This window comes from Homo sapiens, chromosome 11 (assembly GCF_000001405.40).
Source record: "Homo sapiens chromosome 11, GRCh38.p14 Primary Assembly".
In the NCBI taxonomy this organism is placed as follows: domain Eukaryota; kingdom Metazoa; phylum Chordata; class Mammalia; order Primates; family Hominidae; genus Homo; species Homo sapiens.
Genome location: NC_000011.10, coordinates 122,349,864 through 122,377,525, shown reverse-complemented (window position 1 = coordinate 122,377,525; position 27,662 = coordinate 122,349,864). Strand labels below are relative to the sequence as shown.

Here is a 27,662-nt window from a genome sequence, read left to right as displayed (position 1 = left end):
CTTTTTCTTTCTGATTGATTTAGTATTTCTTGCAGGGCAGATCTGGTGTTGATTCATCATGTTTTGTTTGTCTGGAAGTCTTTATTTCTCCTTCATGTTTGAAGGATATATTTTTTTCCAGATATACTATTCTAGGGTAAAAGTGATTTTTTTTCTTCTTTCCCTCCCCCCCCCCCCGCCTCCTTCAGCATTTCAGCACTTCAAAAATGTCATGCACTGCCTCCTGGCCTATAAGGTTCCCACTGAAAAGTCTGCTGCCACATGCATTGGAGCTCCATTGCCATGTTGTTTGTTTTTCTCTTGCTGCTCTTAGGATAGTTTCTTTATCCTTTGGGAGTTTGATTATTAAATGCTTTCAGGTAGTCTTTGTGTTAAGTCTACTTGGTTTTCTATAACCTTCTTGTACTTGAATGCTGTTACCTTCCTCTAAGTTTGGGAAGTTCCTTGGTATTATCCCTTTGAATAAACTTTCTACCCCTATCTCTTTCTCTACCTTCCCTGTAAGGCCAATATCTCTTATATTTGCCCTGATGAGGTTATTTTCTAGATCCCGGAGGCATGCTTCATTGTTTTTTATTCTTTTTTTCTTTTGTCTTCTCTGTCTGCCTATTTTCAAGTAGCCTGTTCCAAGCTCACTAATTTTTTCCTCTCCTTGATCAGTTCTGCTATTCAAAGACTCTGATGTATTCTTCAGTAGGCCAATTGAATTTTTCAGGTCCAGAATTTCTGCTCAGTCCTTTAAAATTATTTCAGTATCTTTATTACGTTTATCTGACAGAATTCTGAAATTTTTCTCTGTATTATCTTGAATTTATTTGAGTTTCCTCAAGACAGCTCTTTTGAATTCTCTGTCTGAAAAATCATATATCTTTGTTTCTCCAGGATTGGTCCCTGGTACCTTATTTAGTTCATTTGATGAGGTCACGTTTTTCTGGATCATCTTAGTACCTGTAGATGTTCATCTGTATCTGGTCATTGAAGAGTTACATGTTTAGTGTAGTCTTGGCAGTCTGAGTTTGTTTGTACCCGTCCTTCTTGGGAAGGCTTTCCAGATATTCACATGGAGTCGGGTATCATGATCTAAGCTGTATGTGCTTTAGGGAACACCCAAAGCTCAGTAACACTGTGGCTTTTATAGACTCATAGAGGTACTGCCTTGATGGTCTTGGACGAGGTCCAGGTGATTTCTCTAGATTACCTGGTACAGACTCTTGCTCTCTTCTCTTACTCTCTCCCAAGCAAATGGAGTCTCTCTGTCTTTTTTGAGCCACGTGGAGCTAGGGGTAGAGTGACACAAGCACCCTGTGGTTACCACCACTAGTACTGTGATGAGTCAGACCCAATGCCAGCACATCACTGGGTCTCACTCAAGGCCTGCTGTAACCACTCCCTGGCTACTGGTTATGTCTGCTCAATGCCCTGGTCTCTGCGACTAGCAGGTAGCAAAGCCAGCCAAGCCTGTGTTCTTCTCTTCCGGCCAGTGAGGTCTCCCAGGTCCTGGGCAGGCCTGAGGTGCCACTTGGGAGCCAGGGACTAGAGTCAAAAATCTTAACAGTCTACCTGGTGTTCTATTGTACTGTGGCTGAGCTGGCACTCAAACCACAAGTCTCAGTCCTTGTCACTCTTCCTTCTTCTTTCCAAAGGCAGAGCAGCCTCACACCATGGCCACCACCACCACAGGCCCATAGGGACTACTGCCAGACTACTGCTGAGGTTCCCTTAAGGCCCAAGGGCTCTTCAGTGAGCTTATGGTGAATGCTTCCTGGCCTGGGATTCACCCTTCAGGGCAGTGGGCTCCCCTCTGGCCCAGGGAAGGTCCAGAAATGCCATCCAAAAGCCAAGGCTTGGAACTAGGGACCCCAAGAGCCTATTTGGTGCTCTACCTGCTGTGGCCAAGCTGGTACATAAGGTGCAAGGCAAAGCCCTCTTTACTCTTCCCTCCACTTTTCTCAAGCAGAAGTCTCACCCCATAGTCACCAGAGTTGGGGATGTGCTGAGTCTCAGCTGAAGCCAGCAAAACTGAGTCTCACCCAAGGCCCTCAGTGTAGTACCTGGGTGTCACTGCTGGTTATTCAGGGCCCAAGGGCTCTTCAGTTAGCAGGTAATGAATGCTGCTAGGACTGAATCCTTTTCTTCAAGGCAGCAGGTTCCCTTCTGGGCCAGAGTATGTCTAGAGATGTTGTCTTGGAGCTAAGGACTAGAATGGGGAGCTCAAAACTCTGACTGATGCTCTATCCTCCTGTAGCTCAGTTGGTATCCAAGATGGAAGGCAAAGTCCTCCCCACTCTTCCATATTTTCTCCTCATGCAGAAGGAAGGAATTTCTTTTGGAGCTACTAGCTGTGCAGCCTAGGGTTAGGGGAAGGGTGATGCCAACATTTCCTTAGTTGCCCTGGCTGGTGTCTCAGTAGGTCACTGCCCCTGCAGTTCTCTGCCTCTTAGCTCAGCTCAGCACTAGGACTCACCTAGGCATTGCAAAACTTGTGGCCTAGACTGGCTTTCAAGGTTTTTTAGGGCTCCAGAAAACTTTAACTCATGATGGCAAGCCTTGCAGGAACTCTTAAGTTCCAACTGCTGGAATCTGTAATTCCCCTCTTCCTTGGGGAAATGATCCCTCTTTGGTCAAGCATCAGCTGAGCTTGGTTTTGTTTATCTTTCTGCTATAACAGGGCAGCACTGAGTTCAATGCCTCACAGTCACTGAGTTCTGCCTCTCCCCAGTGCACAGAAACACTGTCCACACCATGCCACCCCTACCAGGAGATGGAGGACGGGTGGGTCGGCTATTGAAGACTGTTTTTCCTACCTTTTCAGTGCCTCTTTCAGTGATATGAAGTTAAAACCAGGTACTATGAGTGCTCACATCATTTTTGAGTCTTATGAAGGTGTTTTTATTTTGTGTGTGTAGATAGTTGTTGAATTGGTACTCTGTTCGAAGAATGATCAGTCCAGCTTCTATTCTGCCATCTTGTTCTACTTCTGTCTTAGCTTCAAATTTTAAGTTGCCAGAAATTGAGAAAGGAAAGGAACTAGTTTGGGAAAAACAGTAGGAGCTCAGTTTGGGGCATGTTTAATTTTGCCTCTTAGACATCCAAGTGATGTTAAATAGTTAGTTTCGAATATGTGGAGGGATCCAGGTTGAGGATATAATATTGAGAGTCATCATAACCATATAGATGGCACTTAAAGTCATGATTCTAGGAGAAGTTATGTAGATCCTAGATGAGATTGTATAGGGAATGAGTGTAGATAGTAAGAAAGAATATATTCTAGAAGTGAGTCTTGGAGAAATCTAACATTTGGAAGTGAGAGAGATGAGAAAACAAACAAACAAACAAACAAACAAACAAACAGGAAAAGGAGCTAAACAGGTGCAACCAGAAGTGAAGGAGGAAAACAAAGACAATGTGGTGTTCTGGAAGCCAAGAATACAGTGTTTTATTGAGAGAATTTTTACCCGTGTCAGAAACTACTGATAGGTAAAGAAAAATAAGGACTGAGAAATGGTCTTAGAATGTAACAAGGTGGCTGTTGGTAGCCTTGTGAAGAATCATTTCAGTGTAGTGATGGAGAAAAAAGCTTAATTGGAATGTGTTTAAGAAAGAATGGGAGCACATGAAAAGATAAATGTCCAACATAATGGAACACAAAGGAAACATCAAAATCACAATGAGCTACCACTTCATACCCACCCAGGATGGCTGTGATAAACACTGTAGGTGATAACATGAGTTGAGAAGGACATGAAGACATTGGGACCCTCATGCACTTCTTGAAGGAATGTAAAATGGTTCAACAACTTAGAAAATGATCTGACAGTTCCTGAAAAAGTTAAACACAGAGTTACCGTATGACCCAAAAATTTCATTCCTAGTATACACTCAAGAGAAATAAAAACATGCATCCACACAAAAACTTGTAAGTGAATGTTCGGGGCAGTATTATTTATAAGAGCTAACAAGGGAAGATAATCTAAATGCCCATCAACTGATGCATACATAAATAAAATGTGGTATATTCTTATAATGGAATATTATTTGAGAATTTAAATGAAAGAAAACTGATACATGCTACAGTGGTGAGCCTTGAAAACACTATGCTAAGTAAAAGGAGCCAGTCACAAATGACCACATATTGTATGCTTTTCATTTATATGAAAAGACCAGAATAGGAAAAATTTATAGAAATAGAAAGTATATTTCTGATTTCCTGGGCCTGGGGATAGAGGATGTAGATAAATAGGAAATTATTGCTAATTGGCAGGTTTTTTGGGGGTAATAAAAATATTCTAAACTTAGATTTTGCTAATGCTTACACAACTTTGTGCATGCTAAAAGTTTGAATTTTATATAATTTTATGGTATGAAAATTATATCTCATGAAACATTTTTTAAAAGAAGAAAGAATGGGAAGACATATTAGAAAGATCTAGTAGAGAATGCTTTCAAGAGTGCTATAAGAAAGCGATAATAATACATCATTAGTTGAAGAGGAAATCTGGATTAAAGAAAGGTTATTGTTTTTAAGATGAGAGAAATACCAGTGTATTTTATGATGTTGCAATCAATCTAATAAAAAAGGGAAGTTTGATAAAACAAGAATGAGAGAAGACTTCGTGGAGCAATGTTTTGAAGTAGGAAGGAGAATGAAGATGTAGTGCACAGGTGGAGGGATTTGCTCTGCGGGAGGATGGACAGTTCATCCATAGTAATAGAAGGGGAGGTGAAGTATATTCACTCTGATTCTGGCAGGTGTGTAGATTTTAGGTTGAGGTTTTTGAAAATTCTCTTATAATTGCTTCATTTTTCTCATCATAGTGGAAAGCAAGATTGACTACTGAGAATGATGGTGAGGAACAAGTGTTGGAAATTAGAAGAGAAAATTTGAAATACTTGTTCTGGAGAGTGAAGAAAAAATAGATTAGGGAAAGAAAGGATGATTTCTGGGGTGAACTCTTGTGAAGTTTAGTGAGCATGAGTATAATGTGAGAACAGTTGACATGCTTGTGTATTTTTCTCCAGCTATCTTCAGCTGCATGAATTCAGGCATGGAGTAAGTGAAGAGTTGAATTTATCCAGGGTTTTTATTTTGCTGGATTATATTGGGTTTCCAGACAACATACTGTGAGATCGAGATTTGTATGCAGGAGTTTACTGAGGAGTGTTTTCAGAAGCAACATCTATAAGGGATGGAGGGCAGGAAGAATGAGCAGAGGAGGGGTTAAACAGAAGTGCAGTTGTAACAGGTCTCAGGCAATCCTACAGGGAGCTGTGGAGCTGGAACAACCCTCTGATTTGTCCCAAATTGGAGTAAGGAGGCTTGGCATTTGTGCCCCTTTTTGACACTTAGACATGGAATTCCTGTGGTCACAGAGGCTCCCAAGAAGTGAGGGTGATTCCTCAAGAGGGACTTGGCTGTGAGATGACAGAAATTAACACTCCTAGTAGGTGCGGTAGTAAGTGCCTTAGTCCTGAAGGGAAGGTAATAGATGGCACACCACAGAATCTGCTACAGTTCGCCATTTGCACTGCTTGCTTGTGTACTAAGCTTACTCCTTCTAAGAAGACCTCCTCCCGCATTCTGATAAGTTTCTTTTCCTAGAAAGTCTTATTACATGAGGAAGGTTAGTGGGACTAATCCTGCCTCTATGACCGGTCTAGAGGCTGCCATTGATACTCCTCATTTGTACCACCTCAATGTACTATCCATTCTAGATTCTCCTCTTTCTTGGCTAGCACCTCTGCTTATCTAGGTAGCTTATCTGGTGGTATGACCCAGATTCTTATATAAGAGGTGTCTGAGCCCCTGGTTCCTTGGCTACCAAACCATTTTCTAGAGTTGACTGTTACGTTTGTGCATTTACTCAAAATTAGGCATAGTCCACAATGAACCATAACGTAAAACTGAAGCTGGACACCTTGCATTAAGAATGGGAAACCAAAAAGATAGAAGGATTTGGGTCCCAGGTAGTCATGTTTTGAACTCTCAATCACAGATTTTTTTTTTTAAATGAGAGAAAAATATACCCTTAGGTGTTTGACTATTATCAGGTCCCTATTAACAGCTAAATAAAATTCCCAAGTAAAATAATAGTGTAGGATGGATATCCCCCTAACCCTCAACTCCATATTCCATACATCCAGTAAATATTTGAGTTCACCATGTGCCAGATATTTCTTTCCCTAGATTTCTCCATTTCTGCTTAAGAGACCATCATTCTCCATTCTCACCATCTGCTTAAGAACCCATGTGAGGTTTAGTGAGCAAGAGTGTAATGTGAGAACAGTTGACGTGCTTGTACATTTTGGTCCAGCTATCTTCGGCTGCATGAGTTCAGGTATAAAGTAAGTGAAGAGATGTCTGAGCTCCTGATCTACTGAGAGCTACTGAGACCAGAAATCTTAGCCTTCCCCTTAAATGCCTTCTCACCCTAATCTGCACATCCAGTTAGTTGTCAAAGCCTGTCATTCTGCCTCAATAATATCTCTCGGCCTGGTACGGTGGCTCACACCTGTAATCCTAGCAATTTGGAAGGCCGAGGCCTGTGCGTCACCTGAGGTTAGGAGTTTAAGACCAGCCTGGCCAACATGGTGGGACCCTGTCTTTACTAAAAAGACAGAAATTAGCTGAGCATGGTGGTGGGCACCTGTAATCCCAGCTACTTGGGAGGCTGAGGCAGGAGAATTGCTTGAACCCAGGAGGCAGAGGTTGCAGTGAGCTGAGATGGCACCACTGCACTCCAGCCTGGGTGACAGAGCAAGACTCCATCTCAAAAAAATAAATAAAATAAATAAATAAATAAATAAATAAATAAATAAGTAATAATACCTCTCATTGCTGTCTTCTCTCCTCCATCAGTATTTGCATTGTCCTAGATTAGGTGTTCTCCTCACCTCTGCCAATCTTGGCTCTTCCAAAAGCTTTGGTCTTTTCATGCTCATCCCCAGTGTATCCTACAAACTGCTATAAAGAATAGTCATAGTCAAATTAGTAAAATAATTCTTCTCAGAAGCCCTCAATAGCTTCCCATTATATACCATATGAAATCCAAATGCATTAGTGTTGCATTCAAGGCTTTAATCCAGCCATGCCACATATTTTTTTCATTTTAACTTATATTGGATTGGTTACTAATGATTTTCCCAAATATTTATTCCATTTTCCTGATGCTCTGTCCCTCAGCCCCCAACACACATGGCTTGTTTCTTTCTCATCATTTCCCTTTTAGTTCTTTCTTAGACTTATCACAGTTTGTAAATGTATTTACTATTTACATCTTGAATTTTTTTTTGAAACAGAGTTTTGCTCTTATTGCCCAGGCTGGAGTGCAATGGCGCAATCTCGGCTCACTACAACCTCCGCCTCATGGGTTCAAGTGATTCTCCTGCCTCAGCCTCCCGAGTAGCTGGGATTACAGGCATACACCACCACGCCCAGCTAATTTTGTATTTTTAGTAGAGACGGGGTTTCTCAATGTTGGTCAGGCTGGTCTTGAACTCCCAACCTCAGGTGATCCACCCGCCTCGGCCTCCCAAATTGCTGGGATTACAGGCGTGAGCCACCGCACCCAGCCTACATCTTGAATTTTTTCCATTAAACATCTAATGTTTTCCATTAAACATCTAATTGCCAGAATGTAAACTCCCTGAGTGCAGGAACATTGTCTTAGTCACGTCCCAATTTCCAGCACCCAAATGAATGTCAGTGTAGGGGCTCAATGAATATTTGCTAATTGAATTAATGAGTGTGATGGCACTGTAAAGACTATCTCAGCTTTACACAGAGTGGTTTTAACATTCAAGCTGGAAACAGCATGGTTCTACTCAGGCTCCTGTGTTTCCTACACAGGCTTCTGTGTCTCCCCTTAGCTTCAGGGGAGAGAGTCATCCTCATGGAAGGAGACAAAAGAAACTGCACCCCGATGGCAGGGAGGTAAGCTGTCTACAGAGAAGGGTCCCTGTACTCTGTGTTGCGGGACCTTGTCTCTAGGCAATCTCTTTGAGTCAAATGAATAAATGTCCTTCCTATTTTATACTTACCTTATGTGTGGTCACGAGGATTACTTAGCCTTTCAAAGCCTGATTTCTCTTGGGCTTCGTCTAACTGCTGAAAACTTAGTTTGCTCTTGTAATATAAATAAGCACACTTGGGGCAGGGGGCTACATTTTATTCTTCCCTTAGGCAAAGCATAAAAACAAACAAAACAACCACCATGCCTAAAGTCTCCAAAAAGCTCATAGTTACCACAAGGAAAATATGTCTGCGGAGATTTTATTTATTGAATAGTGGGCAAAGACGTATTTTATGCTACAAAGATCTTCCATAGGGAGAACATATCATGGCAGCTCAGCAGTGGGCTGCGTAAAGTGTTACAGGCATGGAGAGGCAACGGATTTACGTATCAGGTTCATAGATGCATCCTTTATTAATCCAAAGAATCAATGCTGGCCAGGCAGGCTTTGTATTAGACACTGGGCACGCCATATTTCTTGGAGACTTAGAAAATTTCTATTGCCTTTTGATGCTTTGTGACATCATTTTTTTCAAACCACAAATTGGGGTGTGTGTTTTTGTGTGTGCATGTATGTGTGTGTGTCTAGGCAAATAAGCATTACAGTTCAAATGAGTATTTAATAATATTTATAACTTGTAATTTGATACATATAAATGGCACCCTAGAAATATCAAATGGACAACAAAAAAGTACCTTATTATTAATTTTAAAATCTAAAATGCCCTTCTTTTACTATGCGGTCTATATCAGGCCCTCACCTGCTTATCCTCCCCTTTCCCCACTCCCCTGATTTTTTGGCAGAGCAAGAATCTTGCCTTCTCAGACTGTCAGAAAAGTAATCTATTTTTAAATTTTCAGAATTTCAGGTCTCCTGTCATTAAACATGACAGAGGGATTTAGGGAAAGAGAAAGCATTGTTTGAAAAAGAAAGTCAGTTTTTAGTGTGACCTAAATGTATACAAGTCCAATGTTTAGACAACATAGCAGGTTAAAGCTGGATTTTGAACATATTTTCAGAGAGTGCTTTGGCATGCAGCATTTTTGAGAGAGGTGTTATGTAAGTTATCAAAAAGCATACATTTGGGGTAGGACTTTTGTTTTATCCAGAAGCTAAAAATCATCGAGTGTTGTGTTTTAATATGCAGATGACCCTTATTCTGATTTCAGTTTGGAAGCTTGATCAGGAAAGGTCTTTACTGTGGTGTTGAGGACGTCATGTTCTTCAGAAAGAAAGCTGTCTGTTTTTCTTTTCTCCAGAGGAACTGCAGTTTAGGACAGGCATAAAGCTGGCAACATAACCAAGGGCAGAAAAAAAATTCACCCCTATGTTCTATTTGTCAAACTGACCGGCAGGTCACAACCTGAAAGTTTATGGATCGGTGAGGCCTTGTCTCCGCATAAGCATGTTTTCTGGACTTTGGCTGAAGCTAAATTCCTGACTTCTGAAAGAGGGGTGGGTGTGGACTTCCAGCAGGAATAGCCAGTGGGAAGGAAGTAATATTCATTAAGAGTGTCTCATGCAAGCAGTGCGGGGCTAAGCATGCTCAGTGTAAATTCTCCTGGAGCCTGTCAAGCTATGTTTGAACTCGTTCCAGGATAGTGGATTTACTTTTTTTTCCCCACCAGGAAGAATACTCGATTAGACTGCATTTTGCCTTGCTTTTCCTTCTCCCTTTCTCTCTCTTTCTTTCTTTCTTTCTTTCTTTCTTTCTTTCTTTCTTTCTTTCTTTCTTTCTTTCTTTCTTTCTTTCTTTTTCTTTCTCTCTCTCTCTCTCTTTCTTTCTTTCCTTTCTTTTCTTTCTTTCCTCTTTCTCTTTCCTTCTTTCTTTTTTTCTTCTTTCTTTCCTTCCTTCCTTCCATCTTTCTTTTCTTTCTTTCCATTTTTTTTTTCCTCCAGAAGAATGGAAACAGTATTCTTTTCCGATCAGTTCAGTAATACAATGTCCTTCAGTGTCCATATGAGCATTTCAGTGGAGAAGAAAAGAAACTTTGCTACCTGGGAACTGAAGACTACTTAGGTCAGTAAATGCTAATAAAGTTCTTAAAGACTTATGGAGCCAGGAGTTAACTTTTCTTAACTGTTAAGGTAATCTACAGCTAATGTAATTGCCTTTTCAATTAGTGGGTGTACACTGATTTTTTTTTTCCACACAAAAACTATGTTTTTCATGTATTGGAGTGATTTCCCAAACACAGGGAAAATATGTCTTTTGGTTAATTTGCATTTGAAAGAACTTCTTTTTGTATGAAAGGTTCTTTCTCTCTACCACAAATTATGTGTTTTTTAAACAAATATTGTGGTGAGCTGATGTAGCCGTAATGGTCTGAATGTGGATGTGTTGTTCTGTGTTATATTAATTCTTGGCTTGGGTAGGTTTGGTGAAAGTTATTGCTTTTGTTGCTGCCAGAGATGAAAGAGAGTTTGTTTTGTTGTGGATGTTGTTTTGGAACTTTTGGTGAGCTTTGAGGCTGCCTTGGGAGCCCCTTATAGAGAGGAGAGCCATCTCTTTCCACGTTTAATGTGCATTTTTCAAAATATTCAAATTTAACTCTAAGACGGGAGTATAGCTTTTTAAGAATCTGTGTAGGAATAGAGTTTTCTTAAAAATGTAGTTTTGGAGGGAAATGGTTTATAGAAAGGTTTGTAATAAAGAATTTAAATCAAGACTGCCATGGTGAATATAAGCAAAAAATGCAAAAAAATACTGCATGCTATGTACATACTGATTCAGTTTAGGTTAATAATTTTACTTTTTAATTTTAAAAAAGTATACCAGGCCTTAAAGGGCTGTCTTATAATATCAACTGATAACACAGAGGACTCATTGGAGAGATGTTAGGATCTCAGAAAATATCAAGTTAGCAAAGGTGGCCCCTTTAAAAACATCTGAGGACTGAGGTTATGAAACCACATGGCTTCGTGTAGGAGCAGTGCATCCTAGGCTAAAGCACTTTAATTTTATTCAAGAATTTTAAGAGTAAAAGGGGATTTATTTCTTTTCAAAAAAGAACAGCCAGGCGAGGATTATTGATCCGTCAGGGATTAAATATTTGCTGGAATACAAAGCATCACATATTATCAATGTGTAAATCAGACTCGCCAGCTATTCAGGGGATGTAAATGAAACGACCATAGTTTCAGCCAGAATCAAATGCAGCAACACCCCTGCCCTGCTTTCTTCATCTTTATGTCCCAGAAAGGGATGATAGAGGTGGGGCAGGGTGTGAAATGAGACTTAGCCAATGAGCTGACCTTGCTCTTTTAACTTCTGTCCATCTGTTCTTACCGGGCAGCTGAAGCAGTGAGCAAAGTGGGACGGGACCTCAGCGGGGACCAGGAAGCAGAGGCCAGACCCAGCCAAGGCTGTGATCTGTTCCCCACCCTGCAAGTTAGATATCAGGAGGAGCTAAGTGGATGCGTCTAAATCCACTTCCTTCTGCTCCCAGAGCTTTGATTTAGTACCAAATGCTGCTCTTCTGCACCTGCCTCTGTTTTTCATAAGTAAAAGCTTCTCCCCATGTGTAGATGGTGGTTTATTCGATACAGATCAATCCCTAAGGAGATAGCTGAAGTAATTGAGTCTTGTTTTGTTTTTTTCTTTCTTCTCTGACATGTGGCATTGATGAGGTTTAATTGAAACAACAAACCTTTTCTGGGATGCGAGAGCACAGTTTTCCATGGAAGAGTGTGTGTGAGCGTGTGTGTGTGTGTGTGTGTGTGTGTGCGCATGCAAGTCACTTGCAGTCTGGACTCTGGGACGCTGCCTCTTGGAAGGCTTTGCAAGGCTGAGGGCATTTGTCTGGAGCCAGGGATCTTTTCATCACCTTGTCTCTGCGTTGGCAAAGAGGAGGTGCACATTCTGGAGCATGCTGTAACTCTTTACCCTCAGTCCTCGTTCCTAATACTGCAGTCTCCCCACAGCACCCCAACTGTTTCCCCTTCATGACCTGTGTCTTGAAGCATAGCACCAAAACCTTTTGAGGCACAAAGGAAAACCAAAGAAGCAGAGAATGAACAAAGACAGGCCTCTTCATGTTCACATCTGGATAAAATTTAGATTGAGACAAGGGAAAATGAGTGGGAGAAAAAAAATCTGACACCATATTAAAAAATGCATATAATTGACTTTCTAGAGTTTTTCTCGTCTCAAGTTTTCTGAGTGTTTTTGTCTCCTGCTCAGACCCTACCCATAGGATTCGGGAGAAGGTAGGTATCACATCCATATTTTGTAGTGAAGTGCAGTGATTTGCCCCAAGCAGCGCCTAGGCTGGAGCAAGCATACAGATACCTGGAGCTCCAGTCCAAGCCTCTGCTTATACAAGAATAGAAATAATCTGGGTTCCACTTCTGCACCTTGAACTCAGTTTCCCCATTCATTTTAAGATTTTGGACAAAGACATTCTGTGCAGTAAGTTCTCCAACTGAATCCATTACTGTAATAATTTGAGAAGTATTTGAAGCTTTTCAGAAGACTTTGACATATTTCCTTTGATCTTATCTTCAACACTACCTGTTAAAATAAATTGGGCCAGTGTTGTCATTTTCTTTTGACAAATGAGGAAACCGAAAGATTGAATGACTTGCTGCCTAAGGTCAGGATAGAGGCTACATGGGAATTCAGGTTGCCCAACTGGGGATTTGAAATTCTAGACCATCCTGAATCCCTGGGTTACTGAGGTAGATAGGATATAAAAGAGGAGTTCCATGATTCATGAAGGTGGAAAGTGTGGCAGCACCAGGGACTTTGGATATTGTCACACTACGAAGGAGAAAACTCCAGCTGGAGATGGTATGTTAGTCACACTCAAGGAGTTGGAGACTTGAATTTAAATCCTATCCGTAGAATCCCAAAGTGTGTGTTCTATGGTATGGTGACTATACACATGGGCTTTGCTAATTTCTCTGCATCTCTTTTTCATCATGTGTAGAATGGGGATACCAAGGGGTTGCTATGAGGATTATATGAAAGGATTCATGTAAAGTACTTAGCACGGTGCCTCACACAGCAGACTAAACCCGAAAATGTTTTGATTGGCATATGCTCTTATTTGTTGCTTGTGTTGTATCACCCAAGGTAAGCATGAACTATTCTTACTGTGAATCCCAGTCAGCTCTTAGCTCAACCCACAGATCCTCAGGGCACTTGTGTTGGTAAATTAACACCACAAGAGGAATAGTGCTTAAGGCATATTTATTGAAAATACAAAAATGTGCTAGATGGCACAGAGAGTTAACTGAGGCAGAACGCTTATTCTTCTTGCTCTTAGTCCACGGAGAGACCAGAGGGAGGCTATCCAGGCAGATATGTCTGAGATAAGTGCACATTTGTTGAGTCAAATCTAGTTATCTTCCATAACTTTCCAATGCGGCTAAGCAGGCTGCTCGGAAGTGAGGAGTCTCTCTGAAGGGAAGGGAGTCAATTACAGTCTCAAAGGTTCAGTGGGAGTCAAAAAAGAAGTAAAGGCCGGGCGCCGTGGCTCACGCCTGTAATCCCAGCACTTTGGGAGGCTGAGGTGGGCGGATCACGAGGTCAGGAGATCGAGACCATCCTGGCTAACACGGTGAAACCCCGTCTCTACTAAAAATACAAAAAATTACCTGGGCATGGTGGCGGGCACCTGTAGTCCCAGCTACTCAGGAGGCTGAGGCAGCAGAATGGCGTGAACCTGGGAGGCGGAGCTTGCAGTGAGCCGAGATCACGCCACTGCACTCCAGCCTGGGCGACAGAGCGAGACTGCGTCTCAAAAAAAAAAAAAAAAGAAAAAAGAAAAAAAGAAGTAAAGGCACATATGCAGACAGGTTTTGGAAATGTCAAGATTTCGGGTTTTATGGGGGGTCTTCTGACCAGTGCTGACCAGGCTCTTGAGGTGCACTGTCTGGGCTCCGAAGTTCCTGGCTTACACATATCATTACGTTAGAGAAATCCCTTTAGAGAGATGAATCTCAAGGGCCTGCTTCTGAGCAAATCAGTGATCCGTAATGGACTGTTCTCTGTAGAGAACCGGGAACTGTAAGTGCACAGTCACAGGGCTGTAAGACCAAATGGAAGGAGGGGCCACTCCCTCAGAGCATGTGCAGTCTAAATGAATAAATGGTACACAGAAGTGCACAGAGCACTCAAATGCAGACCAGTAAAACAAGTCTGTTGGTGCAGAAATGTGAGGCAAACTTCAGGGACAGCAGTTGATGGTTAAATATTCTAAGTGTCTATTCTTAATTTTTTTTTTTTTTTTTTTTTTTTTTTTTTTTTTTTTTTTTTTTTGAGAAGATGTCTTGCTCTGTCACCCAGGCTGGAATGCAGTAGTGTGATCTCGGCTCACTGCGACCTCTGCCTCCTGGGTTTGAGCGATTCTCCTGCCTCAGCCTCCCAAGGAGCTGGGACCACAGGCATGCGCCACCATACCTGGCTGATTTTTGTAATTTTGGTAGAGACGGGGTTTCGCCATGTTGGCCAGGCTGGTCTCAAACTCCTGACCTCAGGTGATCTGCCTGCCTCGGCCTCTAAAAGTGCTGGGATTACAGGTGTGAGTCACCTTGCTTGGCCTAAAATTCTTAAATTCTTTACCACTCAGTTCAGAGTTCTCTTTCAGATGCCTCTTCATGGTCTTTACCCACTTGTCCCTGCTGGGAATGAAAAGCTACTCTGGGGATACAGCAGCGAGATGGCAATGGGTTTTGGTTTATTGAGCATCTATTACACACCTGATGCTAGGTTTCATGCTTTATCAATATTATATTTAAAGTTCACAATACCCCTGGAAAGTTTAAAGAGGAGGAAACCTATCCCCATAGGAGATAGGTTTCCCCCCGGGCAAAGAGGAGTCACATGATTCACCAGCTGAGCATAGGATGTCATGTGTCACACAAGGCCTTCAAGAAACATTCTAAGTGGAAAGGACTGCTGTTGTCCAATAGACTACATTCCTTTCATGGGTGATGCCTATGTCTTGCCTCATTCTGGGTCCATTAACATGTATTGTCCAGAGTTGAGCAAGTCACGTCCCATGAAGTTAGTGCTTGGTGAAGTCTATGTACTGCCTGCCTTTAGGGAACCATTCCTCTTCAACAGCAAGCTCAAACCACATTTCTTTTTTGTTTGTCTTTTACAAATAGGTCCTTAAAAGTTTGGCAGTTTCAAAAGTAAAGAGCTTAGTAATCTTTAGGTCGTATTGTATGGTGAAAAAAAAAAGGGATTTGGAGTGATATGACTGGGTTTTGGGTCCTGACCCTGGAATTTACTTGCTGTCTGACTTTGGATAAATGATTTCACTTCACTGTGCCTCAGTTCCCACATCTGAAATTGTCAATGGGAATTTTCTCAGGTGAGATGCTCAGATCTGCTATTCAACATTGTACCTATAGTCAACAATACTGTATTGTACATGAAAAATTTGTTAAGAGGGTAGACCTCATGTTAAGTGTTCTCACATACAATAAAATAAAATTAATGAAGTAAAAAAAATTAAACGATGTTTTAAAATTTAGCCTGCTATATGAGAGCTGTTACTTTTATTCTCCAAGCTATCTCAGTGTTTTCTAGTAGGTTCTAGTGCTTTTACCTTTTCTGTTCTGAAAAGGCTTTCCTGTCCGGGTGCAGTGGCTCACGCCTGTAATCCCAGAACCTTGGGAGGCAGAGGCAAGCAGATCACCTGAGGTCAGGAGTTTGAGACGAGCCTGGCCAACATGGCAAAACCCCATCTCTACTAAAAATACAAAAATTAGCCAGGTGTGGTGGTGCCCGCCTGTAGTCCCAGCTACTCCGGTGGCTGAGGCAGGAGAAGCGGGAGGCAGAGATTGCAGTGAGCTGAGATTGTACCACTGCACTCCAGCCTAGATGACAAAACAAAACCAAAAGGCTTTCTCCTTCATTTACTGAGATTGAGGGTAGCATGAGTAACTGGGCTAGGCAAACTGCTTTATATCAGAGTACTGAAAACTCTTGAATTGTTCAACTTAACTTTACATTTCCTGAATTAATGAAAGATAGAAGACTTGGAAAAGACAGAGACATTAGACAGAAGCTATAGCCAGAGCAGAATCTGGTTGACGTTAAGAATTTCCTGTATGCAAGGAGGAATGAACAAGTCAGGCTACCAAACAAATGGTTGCCACACATATACAGCCCCCATTTTCCCAGAGAAGATACGAACCGTGAAAAGATGTCAGAATGGTTACTTTCAAAAAAAACAGAAAATAACAAGTGCTGACAAGGATGTGGAGAAGTTGGAACCTTCGTGCACTGTTGGTGGGAATGTAAAATGGTGCAGCTGCTATAGAGAACAGTATGATGGCTCCTCAAAAATTAACAAATAAAATTACCATTTGACCGAGCACTTCCACTCCTGGGTATATCCCCAGGGAACTGAAAGCAGGGTCTTGAAGGGATAGTTGCACACCCATATTCATAACAGCATTGTTCACAATAGCCACAAGGTGGAGACAACCCAAGTGCCCATCAAAGGAGGTATGGATAAACAAAATGTGGTATATCCATACAATGGAAAATTATTCGGTGTTAAAAAGGAAGGAATCCTGACACATGCTACGACATGGAAGAAACTTGAGGTCATTACGGTAAGTGAAATAAGACAGGACTAAAAGGACAAATATCATATGATTCCACTTACAGGAGGTTCCTAGAGTAGTAAAATTATAGCAACAGAAAGTAGAATGGCGGGTTCCAGGGGCTGTGAAAAGGGGTGAATGGGGAGTTATGATTAGCACGTACAGCGCTGTACATGAGGAAGGTGAAAACGTTCTGGAGATGGATAACGGTGATGTTAACACAACAATATGAATGTACTTAATGTCACTGAGCATACACGTAAAAATGGTGAAGCTGGTCAACTTCATGCTCTCTACATTTTGCCACAATTAAACATTTTAGGATGGAGATTATTTAAATGTTTATTTTCTAGATAATTTATAATGGCTTCTCACTGTAACTATTTGTTTTATTACTGAAATTCAGCTGTGTGTGAGGAAGAAATCAGGCTCAAACTGAGGAGGAAAAGATATTAAAAATGCAGTTTTCAGGAGAAAAAAAAGAGCAAGGGAAGACAGGAGAAAAATCGGCTCTTGGTATATAGCAATGGAAATTTCAGGATTTCTAGATAGGAGGTGCTCAGGGGCAGGATTGTATTCCATCCCTGCATTTGCATAGCAGGCACACTGCTTTAACTTAGGTGGCTTATTTGGGGTGGCATTTGGCAGCTGATCGAGACTGTAGGGCACCGAAAGTCCTGCTGAGCACCTGTTTTTGCTAGACATTGCTTTTGCCATCAGAGAAAAATTTTATGAGGGCCTGCCATTGTGAAAACTCTGTGGGGAGAAGTTGTAGAACTCCAGAGACATGACGAAGCCGCTTACTATCAGGCAGGGGGATGGAAGGGAAAGCAACTAGCATTTATTGAGTGCCTATTTTGTACTAGGTGTTTATGTGTGTTATTCATTTAATCCGCACAATTGCCTCTAAGGTAGACCTCCTATTGCCACTTTATAAATGCAGCTTTCCCATTTTTGCTACCTAGTGGTGAAGCCAGGACTGGAACCCAGGTCTGCCAGAGCCTAAAGCCTAGGCGTTTCCGACACATCACACTAAATGACTTTAGGAATTACACCTCTTCAGGTAACTATCCAGCCAATCCCTCTCTGGCTTTTGCTGTCAGCAGCCGTGGATGAGGAGGTCTTCCTGGAACAGATGTGTGTCTCACACACTCAGCTTACGGTTCTCCAGGGGTTTCCTGGGGGCTCTGGCTTTAACATCCACGATCTGAACATAATTTTTCATTTTCACCAACACTCGCCCAGCAACATTGAGCCTTCCTGAGGAAAAAAGCCCAGGTATCTGCGGAGCGTCTTTTTCTGCGGTGCTGTCTCAGGTTCAGGTGTTAGAATAAATGAAGCCCAGTGCGCGAGTCCCTTCCGGGAAGGCTGTGCTGAGACTCCTTTGTTTGGTTTATGTATAGCCATCAATGCATCATTCCTTCTGCTTCAGCTGTTTGAGAATCCCATCTTCTCTATTGATTTCCCACGGAACGTTTACTGCTCTCCAAGGTGTGACCTGTACCTCTAGCTAATTTATTTCTGTCATGGCTGCAGGATTTAGGATGAAGGGGAGGCGGGGAGAGGGGACTGGAGGGAGGGAGGGAGGGAGGAGAGAGAGCGACGACGTGTCCAAGATGTAGGAAATAAATTCAGCATTGAGCCCCCCGACCGGCGTGCCTGCAGCTCTGGAGGGCAGTTCTGTGCACACAGCAAGGGGACTTTGTTTGAAAATCTGCTCAGTAAGATGGAAGCTGCAGCCACGGGGTTTCAGAAGGCCAGGAATTAGAGCAGGGCCCCATGGGGATGGAAAAGCAAGGAAAGAATGTGTTTGAAAATAACATCTTGACTGTTCAGGAGCCAGTCACCATATTGAGCAGTACGTGGTGGGTTTTTTCTCTTTTAATGAAATGATGGAAACCCTTCTAGGGGCAGGAAGGAGACTGGTGAAGTCATATTCTCTTCTTCATTATGGGATTTTCAACAACAGGACATTCGTGGGTCAGTCCCTGCGACTGCCTTTACAATGAGTGACATGTGAGATATTAAATCGAACCACCTTAACATAAACCTCCCTACCCTCTATGCCTAGAACATATCAAGTTAGCCCTTTCATGGTCTGGTTGTACTTAAATGTCCACTTAATTTTATCCTGTGAAAATGACTAAGAAAATCTGGCAATAAACTCACACGAGGAAGGATGTAGATTATTATTTTCACCTGAATAGTGACTTGCATTTGTTTAGTGGGTAGATAAATCATATCTGAATGACATTTTAAAGCTTTCAAGTTTTTAAAATATGCATTATTTTATTTCATTTCCTTAACAGTGCCAAGAAGTAGGTGTATTATTTTCTGTACACAGTTGAAGAAATGCAGGCTCATTAGCCTGCTTGCTGCCTAGGTAAGGTCACATGACTAATAAATGACAAATGCAAGATTCAAGTCTAGGGCACCTGATTCCAGATTCAGGTTGCATTACCAGACACCACGGTAGTGCAAGGGCAGTAATGTTTCACCAAGGTCACCCAGTGCTGAGCAGCAGAAGCTAGAGAGTAGGGGATGCGATAGGTCAAACTTTGCCTAACTACTTAGACAATAATGAAATGAATCAGAGCTCAACCAAACACACAGACACCTATGTTTCCACTCATCTGATTTATGTCCAAGGTCAGTCCACCTGAGGTCTGATAAGCTTTTAGAAAGAAGGGCAAAACAGTCACTAGTGACCATTTTCTCCCTCCTTCCCACACACTGGCCCTCCACTCCACCCCAGCAAACTCACAGATATTATTCTATTTTTTAGAGAGACTATAATAAATCATTGCTCCTCATGTATTACCATCAATTATAATTTATCCCGCGCTGAGTGTTAGAACAGCAATTAGTTGTGAGGCTGGCTAATGGAATTTATGCCTATAAATCCCAGATACTGTAAGATCCTCTCTCATTTCTACAGCATGTGTAAGGAGCTTCCAAGATGTTAGTAAAAGGACAAAATGATAGCGATGGTGAGCTGGTGGGCCTTCCACAACTGGGTCGTCTTCTATCTGGACCCCTCTAACTGGGGAAGAACAGACCATTTCTTCTTGACTGATGGCCAAGCTGCTGCCTCAGAGCCCTACAGCCCAATAAAGAGGCCCCAGATTTGAGTCATTCTTTATTTTATTTTATTTTATTTTATTTTATTTATGTATGTCACCCAGGCGGGAGTTCAGTGGCATGATCTTGGCTCACCACAACCTCTGCCTCCTGGGTTCAAACGATTCTCATGCCTCAGCCTCCAGAGTAGCTGGGATTACAGGTGTGCACCACCACGCCCAGCTACATTTTTGAATTTTTAGTAGAGATGGGGCTCTTGCCATGTTGCCCAGGCTGGTCTCAAACTCCTGACCTCAAGTGATCTGCCCACCTCGGCCTCCCACAGTGCTGGGATTACAGGTGTGAGCCACCACACCCAGCCTCATTCTATTTTTAGAAAAATAACATGATGGTGTTGTAGAAAGGCTTCTTTCCTAAGTGCTTGTAATGAAAGAAGAAGGGGTAACCTTACAGACAAAATAAAATGCCCAGTGTTTAGGAATAAAATGTAACTGTGCATATCCCTGGATTAACTGAAGCTATTTTGATTTGAAAAAATCTGAACTTTGGCAAAACCTTAAACTCCTCCTTTACAGGTGGCAGGCTACATTCCTACTGTCTCAGAGGTAAACTTTGTCTCATGATTTACAATTTTGAGATGGGATGTGTGTGAGCTGCAAAATTAGAAACGCTCAAGACGAAGTCATGTTCTCTTCCCCATCAACAGTGTGAGATGCTGTGTTTTGCTATTTCTCCTGCCTGGAGGAATTTTTATTTCTCAGCTCTTTTCCTTTTTGCAAACTGATTTAGGATAATTATTTTTCCCTTGAAGTTGGCCTGAGGTGGCATGGTGTTGCAGACAGAATTCAAAACGTACAGGCTTCAGAAACTTTCATTTGAGTCCCGGATTCATGACTTATTAGCTGTGTGGCTACAGGATTTAACTGTCCTTATCAATTTTTGCATCAAGAAAATGGGTATAACAATACCTATCCTGGTGGGGGGAGGGGGGAGGGATAGCATTGGGAGATATACCTAATGCTAGATGACGAGTTAGTGGGTGCAGCGCACCAGCATGTCACATGTATACATATGTAACTAACCTGCACATTGTGCACATGTACCCTAAAACTTAAAGTATAATAAAAAAAAATACCTATCCTAATGGTATTGTTATGAGGACCTCAGGAGATAATGGATGTGAAAGTGTTGTATAAACTCTAAAGCACTGTGCCTATGGGGAGAACTTATGCTGTATCATTTGAGTTTTTGAAATGCATGTACAATTATTGTCATCTCAATTATCTATGCTGTCATAATGATCAACCTTCCAGATTGTCTCTATTTAACACTGGAATTTATGTCAAGCTATGACTTGGACCAATGAACCCACCACTAAACATCAAACAAACCTTATCCCTGCTCCATTCTATCTCTCTCCTTACTTCTGAAATATTCTGCAGCTTTGCTCTGAGAGTTTGCTTAATCCTCATATCCACTCCTGTCCCTCTTTGGAGGTTTGTCTGGGAACTTATTTAATTCAAGCTCCTCATCTGCAGGACTCCATCTCACTGCTCCTGGAATTTCCTCAATTACTGGAGCAAAGTAGAGTGAGTGGGGCTGGGCAATGTGCAGTGAGTCCCTCAGATTTTCAGATCTCTTCACTCTGAAAATGGAACATGTTTCGAGCTCAGATCCTGGGCAGCGAATGGAAAGGGAAGGGATCCAGTCCTGGTCTTGCCATTTACCAGCTGTGACACTGAATGGCTACTTCAGCTCACTACTGCAGTCTTCTCATCTTCAAAAGAAAGATAATAATAATAGTACTAATTTCCTTGGGTTGTTGTTAGAAATGCTTTGTAGAATATAACAGATTTTACAAAGAGAGTCATTATGTTGACTTGATGCAATATTAAAACAGCTTTCCATTTTTTTGAACAATGACTGGCGTCTGAGTGAAGACCCTTAAGAGTATGTTAATTGATGGCAGGGAGTTCAGTGAGTACTGAAAATCGAAAGTTACCACACATAAGTTACATATGGATAAGAAAGAGTTGACTAAATGGTGATATATACATACAATGGAATATTATTCAGCCATGAAAAGGAATAAAGTACTGATACATGCTACAGCATGAATGAACCTTGAAAACATCAGACTAAGTGAAAGGACCCAGACACAAAACAGTACATACTGTGTGATTCCACCTTTATGAAATCTCCAGAATAGGTGAATCTATAGAAACAAAGCAGATTAGTGGTTTCCAGGGGTTATGGAAGAGGAAAATAGGGAGCTTAATGGGTATGGGGTTTTCTTCGGGGATGATAAAAATGTTTTGGAACTAGTTAGAGGTGGTGGTTGCACAATATTGTAAATTTACTAAATCCTACCAACTTATTTCCTTCAAAATAGCTAATTTTATGTGATGGGCATTTCACCTCAATTAAAAAAAAATACTGTCAAAACAAAACAAATCACCAGGCCAGGTGTAGTGCCTCCTGCTTGTAATCTCAGCACTTTGGAAGGCCAAGGTGAGAGGGTTGCTTGAACCCAGCATCTTGAGACCAGCCTGGGCAACACAGGGAGACCCCGTCTCTACAAAAAAATGAATAAATAAATTAGCCAGTCATGGAGGTGCACAACTGTAGTCCTAGTTGCTTAGGAGCCTGAGTGGGAGGACTGCTTGAGCTTGGAAGGTCAAGGCTGCAGGGAGCTATGATCGCGCCACTGCACTCCAGCCTGAGTGACAGAGTGACAGTCTCAAAAAATACAAAATAAAATAAAAATAAATTTATAAAAAAAAACACTGAAGAAGTTGACTGTATAGGAAGCCTTCCTGGCTCTTTATATCGTCTTGGTCATTTGTGAGTTTGATGAAGAAAGTCTCCTATACTTCTTTATGTTTTTTTCCTACCTTCTGTAGGCCCATCTTAACACCTTGGTATTATATACCTCCAAGACTACTCAAGTTCTGTTTAAGTCATTTCTTTTTCTTCCTTTCATTCATTTATCCACTTGTTCACTCACCGGGTGCTAAGGCGAGTGATAACGTGTGATCCAGACAGAGGACAGGGAAGCAGCCCTGCTGTGTAACTTTGGTGGGTACCTTACCCTTCTGGTTTCAGAGGGACATTAAGTAGATCATTTCTTGGGATTCTTTCAGTTATAAACTTCTAAGAAGAAATGAGAAATGCATTATTAGGTTTCCTTTAAATATTTGGCCAGCTAATTTCTCAGATTATTTTACTTTGAATTCATTTATCAAATCTAGCTAGACAGACAGAAAAAATAAATTACACTTTGAATTAGCCTCCTCTTTTTTTTTTTTATTGGACCTCAGTAATGAGGAGAAAATTCATCTCTCTGCCTGTGGTGAAACTTCTTTGACCACAGGAAACCTTTCTTCATGTTTTTCAAGATGAAAAAATATCCAAAGCATGAGACTGATATGCTTCTAGTTTGAAAAGCACCAAAAAAGATTTTATCTTTAATTATAATATGTTAAAGAAAATAGACACTGGAATAACTTAATAGTCCATTAAAACACTATATTCAAGGATCATTTAGCATTTCCATGATAAATTACTATTTTTAGAAGCTTATGTAACCAAACAAAGAATGCGTTCTTGGCTATGACCATGAAGACAAGTTATTATGGTGGGAGGGACAAAGAAATCTGAGTGGCTCATGAGAGACAGAGCCAATTGCCGAGGACATTTTATAGAGCGCCCTTTCTCTTTAGTCTCCATTTTCTGCAATCAGGATAATGCAGTGCATTTTAGAGCCATTTTCATTTTTGAAGTGCCCTTTCATCATTAGCTAATAAATACTCATCAATGAATTTTCCTCCCTGTCTTGGAAGTTGGAGGAAAAAGAAATGTAATTGCTTTCTATTTCGTAAGTATTATCCCCCTCTGGGTTTTGCCTCTTGTGCTTCTGATAGAAACATATGAAATAAATTATACTTGTCCATTTGAAAGGACCAAAGACTACCATCCTTTCCGTAAAGAACACCTGGAAATTTGCATCAGATATTAGTGACCTTCAGTAACTATCCATCCATAGTAGCAGAAGGAGTGTCTGTCTCTCATTACCAAGCTCAGTACTTTTTAGTGTCTCCTGAGGATAGTTAATGGGAGGATAGTTAATGGGAGGAGTGACCTGATGGGTCTTCATCAGGGAGCTGGATAGGAAGGATTTGAGGTGGGAGGAGGTAGTGTCTCAGTATGTGTCTCCAGTAGAGGACTGCATACGCTATTTTCTAGGATCAAAAAGTTACGGTTTTGGAATTTTCCGTTCTTTTGTATTTTCATTGTTTCTTCCTCCCCTTAGTTCCATTTAAATTTGGCTACAAGTTTTACGGTTTCTGCTGTGGTGAATTTCACTATATATCCTTAAAGCTGATCCCAGACTGTCTTACCTGCACTAGATTTTGAGGAAAGCAGTGTGAATCGTAGCATAAGCCATGTTTTACGGGGTTTCTGCTGCAATGTCATCTCTAGTAGTATTGCCGAATAGAAATAAAATGCAGGTCACATATACAGTTTAAAATTTTATGGTAACTACATCAAAAAAGTAAAAATAAACAGTTAAAATTAATTTTAATAATATATTTTATTTAAGCCCTTATATCTAAAGTATATCATAAAATTCATATAAAAACTATTAATGATATATTTTACATGGTTTTACTAAGTCTACGCATTTTGAAGTGTATTTTATACTTCCCACACATCTCCATTTGGACTAGCACATTTCAGGCATTCAATAGCCATGTTTTGTATGACTAATGGTTAGTGTCTTGGGCAGTGCAGGTGTATAGTTGTGAATAGACAATTTTTTTTTATTATACTCTAAGTTCTAGGGTACATGTGCACAATATGCAGGTTTGATACATAGGTATACATGTGCCATGTTGGTGTGCTGCACCCATCAACTCATCATTTACATTAGGTATTTCTCCTAATGCTATCCCTCCTCCAGCCCCCCACCCCCTAACAGGCCCCAGTGTGTGATGTTCCCTACCCTGTGTCTAAGTGATCTCATTGTTCAATTCTCACCTATGAATGAGAACACGCGGTGTTTGGTTTTCTGTCCTTGTGATAGTTTGCTAAGAATGATGGTTTCCAGCTTCAACCATGTCCCTGCAAAGGACATGAACTCATCCTTTTTTATGGTTGCATAATATTCTATGGTGTATATGTGCCACATTTCCTTAATCCAGTCTATCATTGATGGACATTTGGGTTGGTTCCAAGTCTTTGCTATTGTGAATAGTGCCTCAATAAACATACGTGTGCATGTGTCTTTATAGTAGCATGATTTATAATCCTTTGGGTATATACCCAGTAATGGGATTGCTGGGTCAAATGGTAATTCTAGTTCTAGATCCTCGAGGAATCGCCACACGGCCTTCCACAATGGTTGAACTAATTTACCCTCCCACCAACAGTGTAAAAGTCATCCTATTTCTCCACATCCTCTCCAACATCTGTTGTTTCCTGACTTTTCAATGATTGCCATTCTAACTGGCATGAGATGGTATCTCATTGTGGTTTTGATTTGCATTTCCCTGATGACCAGTGATGATGAGCATTTTTTCATGTGTCTGTTGGCTGCATAGATGTTTTCTTTTGAGAAGTATCTGTTCATATCCTTTGCCTACTTTTTGATGGGATTGTTTGTTTTTTTTCTTGTAAATTTGTTTGAGTTCTTTGTAGATTCTGGATATTAGCCTTTTGTCAGATGGGTAGATTGCAAAAATTTTCTCCTGTTGTGTAGGTTGCCTGTTCACTCTGATGGTAGTTTCTTTTGCTGTGAAGAAGCTGTTTAGTTTAATTCGATCCTGTTTGTCTATTTTGGCTTTTGTTGCCATTGCTTTTGGTGTTTTAGTCATGAAGTCCTTGCCCATGCCAATGTCCTGAATGGTATTGCCTAGGTTTTCTTCTAGGGTTTTTATAGTTTTAAGGTCTAACATTTAAGTGTTTAATCCATCTTGAATTAATTTTTGTATACAGTGTAAGGAAGGGACACAGTTTCAGCTTTCTGCATATGGCTAGCCAGTTTTCCCAGCACCATTTATTAAATAGGGAATCTTTTCCCCATTTCTTGTTTTTGTCAGGTTTGTCAAAGATCAGATGGTTGTAGATTTGTGGTGTTATTTCTGAAGCCTCTGTTCTGTTCCATTGGTCTATATATCTGTTTTGGTAGTAGTACCATGCTGTTTTGGTTACTGTAGCCTTGTAGTATAGTTTCAAGTCAGGTGGCATGATGCCTCCAGCTTTGTTCTTTTTGCTTAGGATTGTCTTGGCAATGTAGGCTCTTTTTTGGTTCCATATGAACTTTAAAGTAGTTTTCTCCAATTCTGTGAAGAAAGTCATTGGTAGCTTGATAGGGATAGCGTTGAATCTACAAATTACTTAGGGCAGTATGGCCATTTTCACGATATTGATTCTTCCTATCCATGAGCATGGAATATTATTCCATTTGTTTGTGTTCTCTTTTGTTTCCTTGAGCAGTGATTTGTGGTTCTCTTGAAGAGGTCCTTCACATCCCTTGTAAGTTGGATTCCTAGGTATTTTATTGTCTTTGTAGCGATTGTGAATAGGAGTTTACTCATGATTTGGCTTTCTGTTTGGTGCATAGACAAAGTTTTAACAAATATTCTTAAAAGTATTTCTGAATTATTTATCACAAAGTCACAATCTGATATAAATTACCATTCATTTTCTCTTCAAGGCTTTCTCTTTATCAAGGAAATTGTCCCCTACTTTTTTAGGAATGGGGGAATGTTAGAGGATTCTAATATTTACCAGCAGGGAAGGGGTTAATATATGTTTTGTCAAACTTACCATTCACTTTGGTGGTTACCAGTTAGTAGTAAAATTAACTATAGCATAAGTGAATTTTAACTTTCATTTTGCTCCATGCTTTGCTATAACTTGAGCTCATAGTTACCTAAGAACCAAGAAATGACAAGACTGTTGATCTCAGATAGTGGTTGGAATTTGACCATGTGGATTTGAACCCGATACTAATAGTTATTGCACTTTACATGGCTTCCACACATTCCTAATTTTTGATGCCATCATCCTTCATATTAATGTTTTGTGCTTATTTTTACGTGGTTGTGCTCTCATGAAGAAAAAGGATGCCTTTTATACTTGCAGTTTCTCATCTCCGCTCAACCAAAGGAGGTCTTATGGGCAGGGACTATGACTAAAAGGGCAGTCAAGTGGCATGAATTCCTGCAAAATTAGAGGCAGTCATGTGGCATGAATACCTGCAAAGGCTTGGCATCCTATTCTTGGACTAAAGACCTAATTCTGCTTGGGAACAATATCACAAATATCTATCTGGGACTTTAGTTATTGGAAGTTACATACCTCTACAGGGGAATGATAATTACTGGTGATAATTATTTATCTTTGAACACCAACCATGAGCAAAGCATGGTGGTAGGTGCTGTGAGAGTTCCAGAAAGAAATGCCATCCTTCCGCCCCCAAGAAGCTTAGTTTGATGGTAAAGATAAACACAAGACATAGAGTCCTAGCTAAGACACTAAAGTGCTAACACAAAGGTATCAGCAGATACTCAGATGACCCCATGGTACTGTAAGATGCAGAAAACAAATCCTACCAGAGACTGCTACATGCCAGATTTAGCAGGTACTAAAGACAATTATAATGAAGGCATAGTTTATCTTCCTGAGGATCTCCTAGCCTACTGTGAGAAGTGGGTAAAAAAAAAAAACAACCAACTGATTACAATGCCATGTGAGATATGGCAGAATGGAGACATTGACAAAACTCCAGAAACACAGATTAAGGAGACACTCCATCCTCCAGTCCAAGTAGGAAACAGATCTTCAGAGGCAAAGACGATGGGGCTAGTTTTCAAAATAGGATTCACTTGCAGAAAAATGGGAGGAAGGCAGCTTGGAGAGAAATAGGAGTAGGAGTGAAGGCAAAGGTGGTTCTGGAGCTGGTGAACCCTGAGGAAAACCATCCCTCTGTAAGTTGC

The 27,662-nt window shown here is 40.9% G+C and overlaps 1 long non-coding RNA gene across 2 annotated transcripts in view, besides 1 other annotated feature; it reads left to right on the top strand.

Annotated features, from left to right (window-relative positions):
* MIR100HG (mir-100-let-7a-2-mir-125b-1 cluster host gene) overlaps positions 1–27,662 on the top strand; it is a 394,543-nt gene that overhangs the window by 45,346 nt on the left and 321,535 nt on the right. Inside the window, exon 1 of one of the 2 annotated variants that reach the window (NR_137192.1) lies at positions 9,538–10,030. The exons of the other annotated variant lie outside the window; for it this stretch is intronic. This is a non-coding gene — a long non-coding RNA (mir-100-let-7a-2-mir-125b-1 cluster host gene). Of the gene's footprint in view, positions 1–9,537; positions 10,031–27,662 lie in introns of those variants that run through there. 2 annotated transcript variants of the gene reach the window in all.
* Positions 3,394–3,928: an enhancer, noted in NCBI's record as "OCT4-NANOG hESC enhancer chr11:122244306-122244840 (GRCh37/hg19 assembly coordinates)". NCBI's record gives its function as "activates a minimal SCP1, AML or CMV promoter by ChIP-STARR-seq in naive H9 embryonic stem cells {active_cell/tissue: H9 hESC(naive)}" and the evidence as "EXISTENCE:reporter gene assay evidence [ECO:0000049][PMID:30033119]".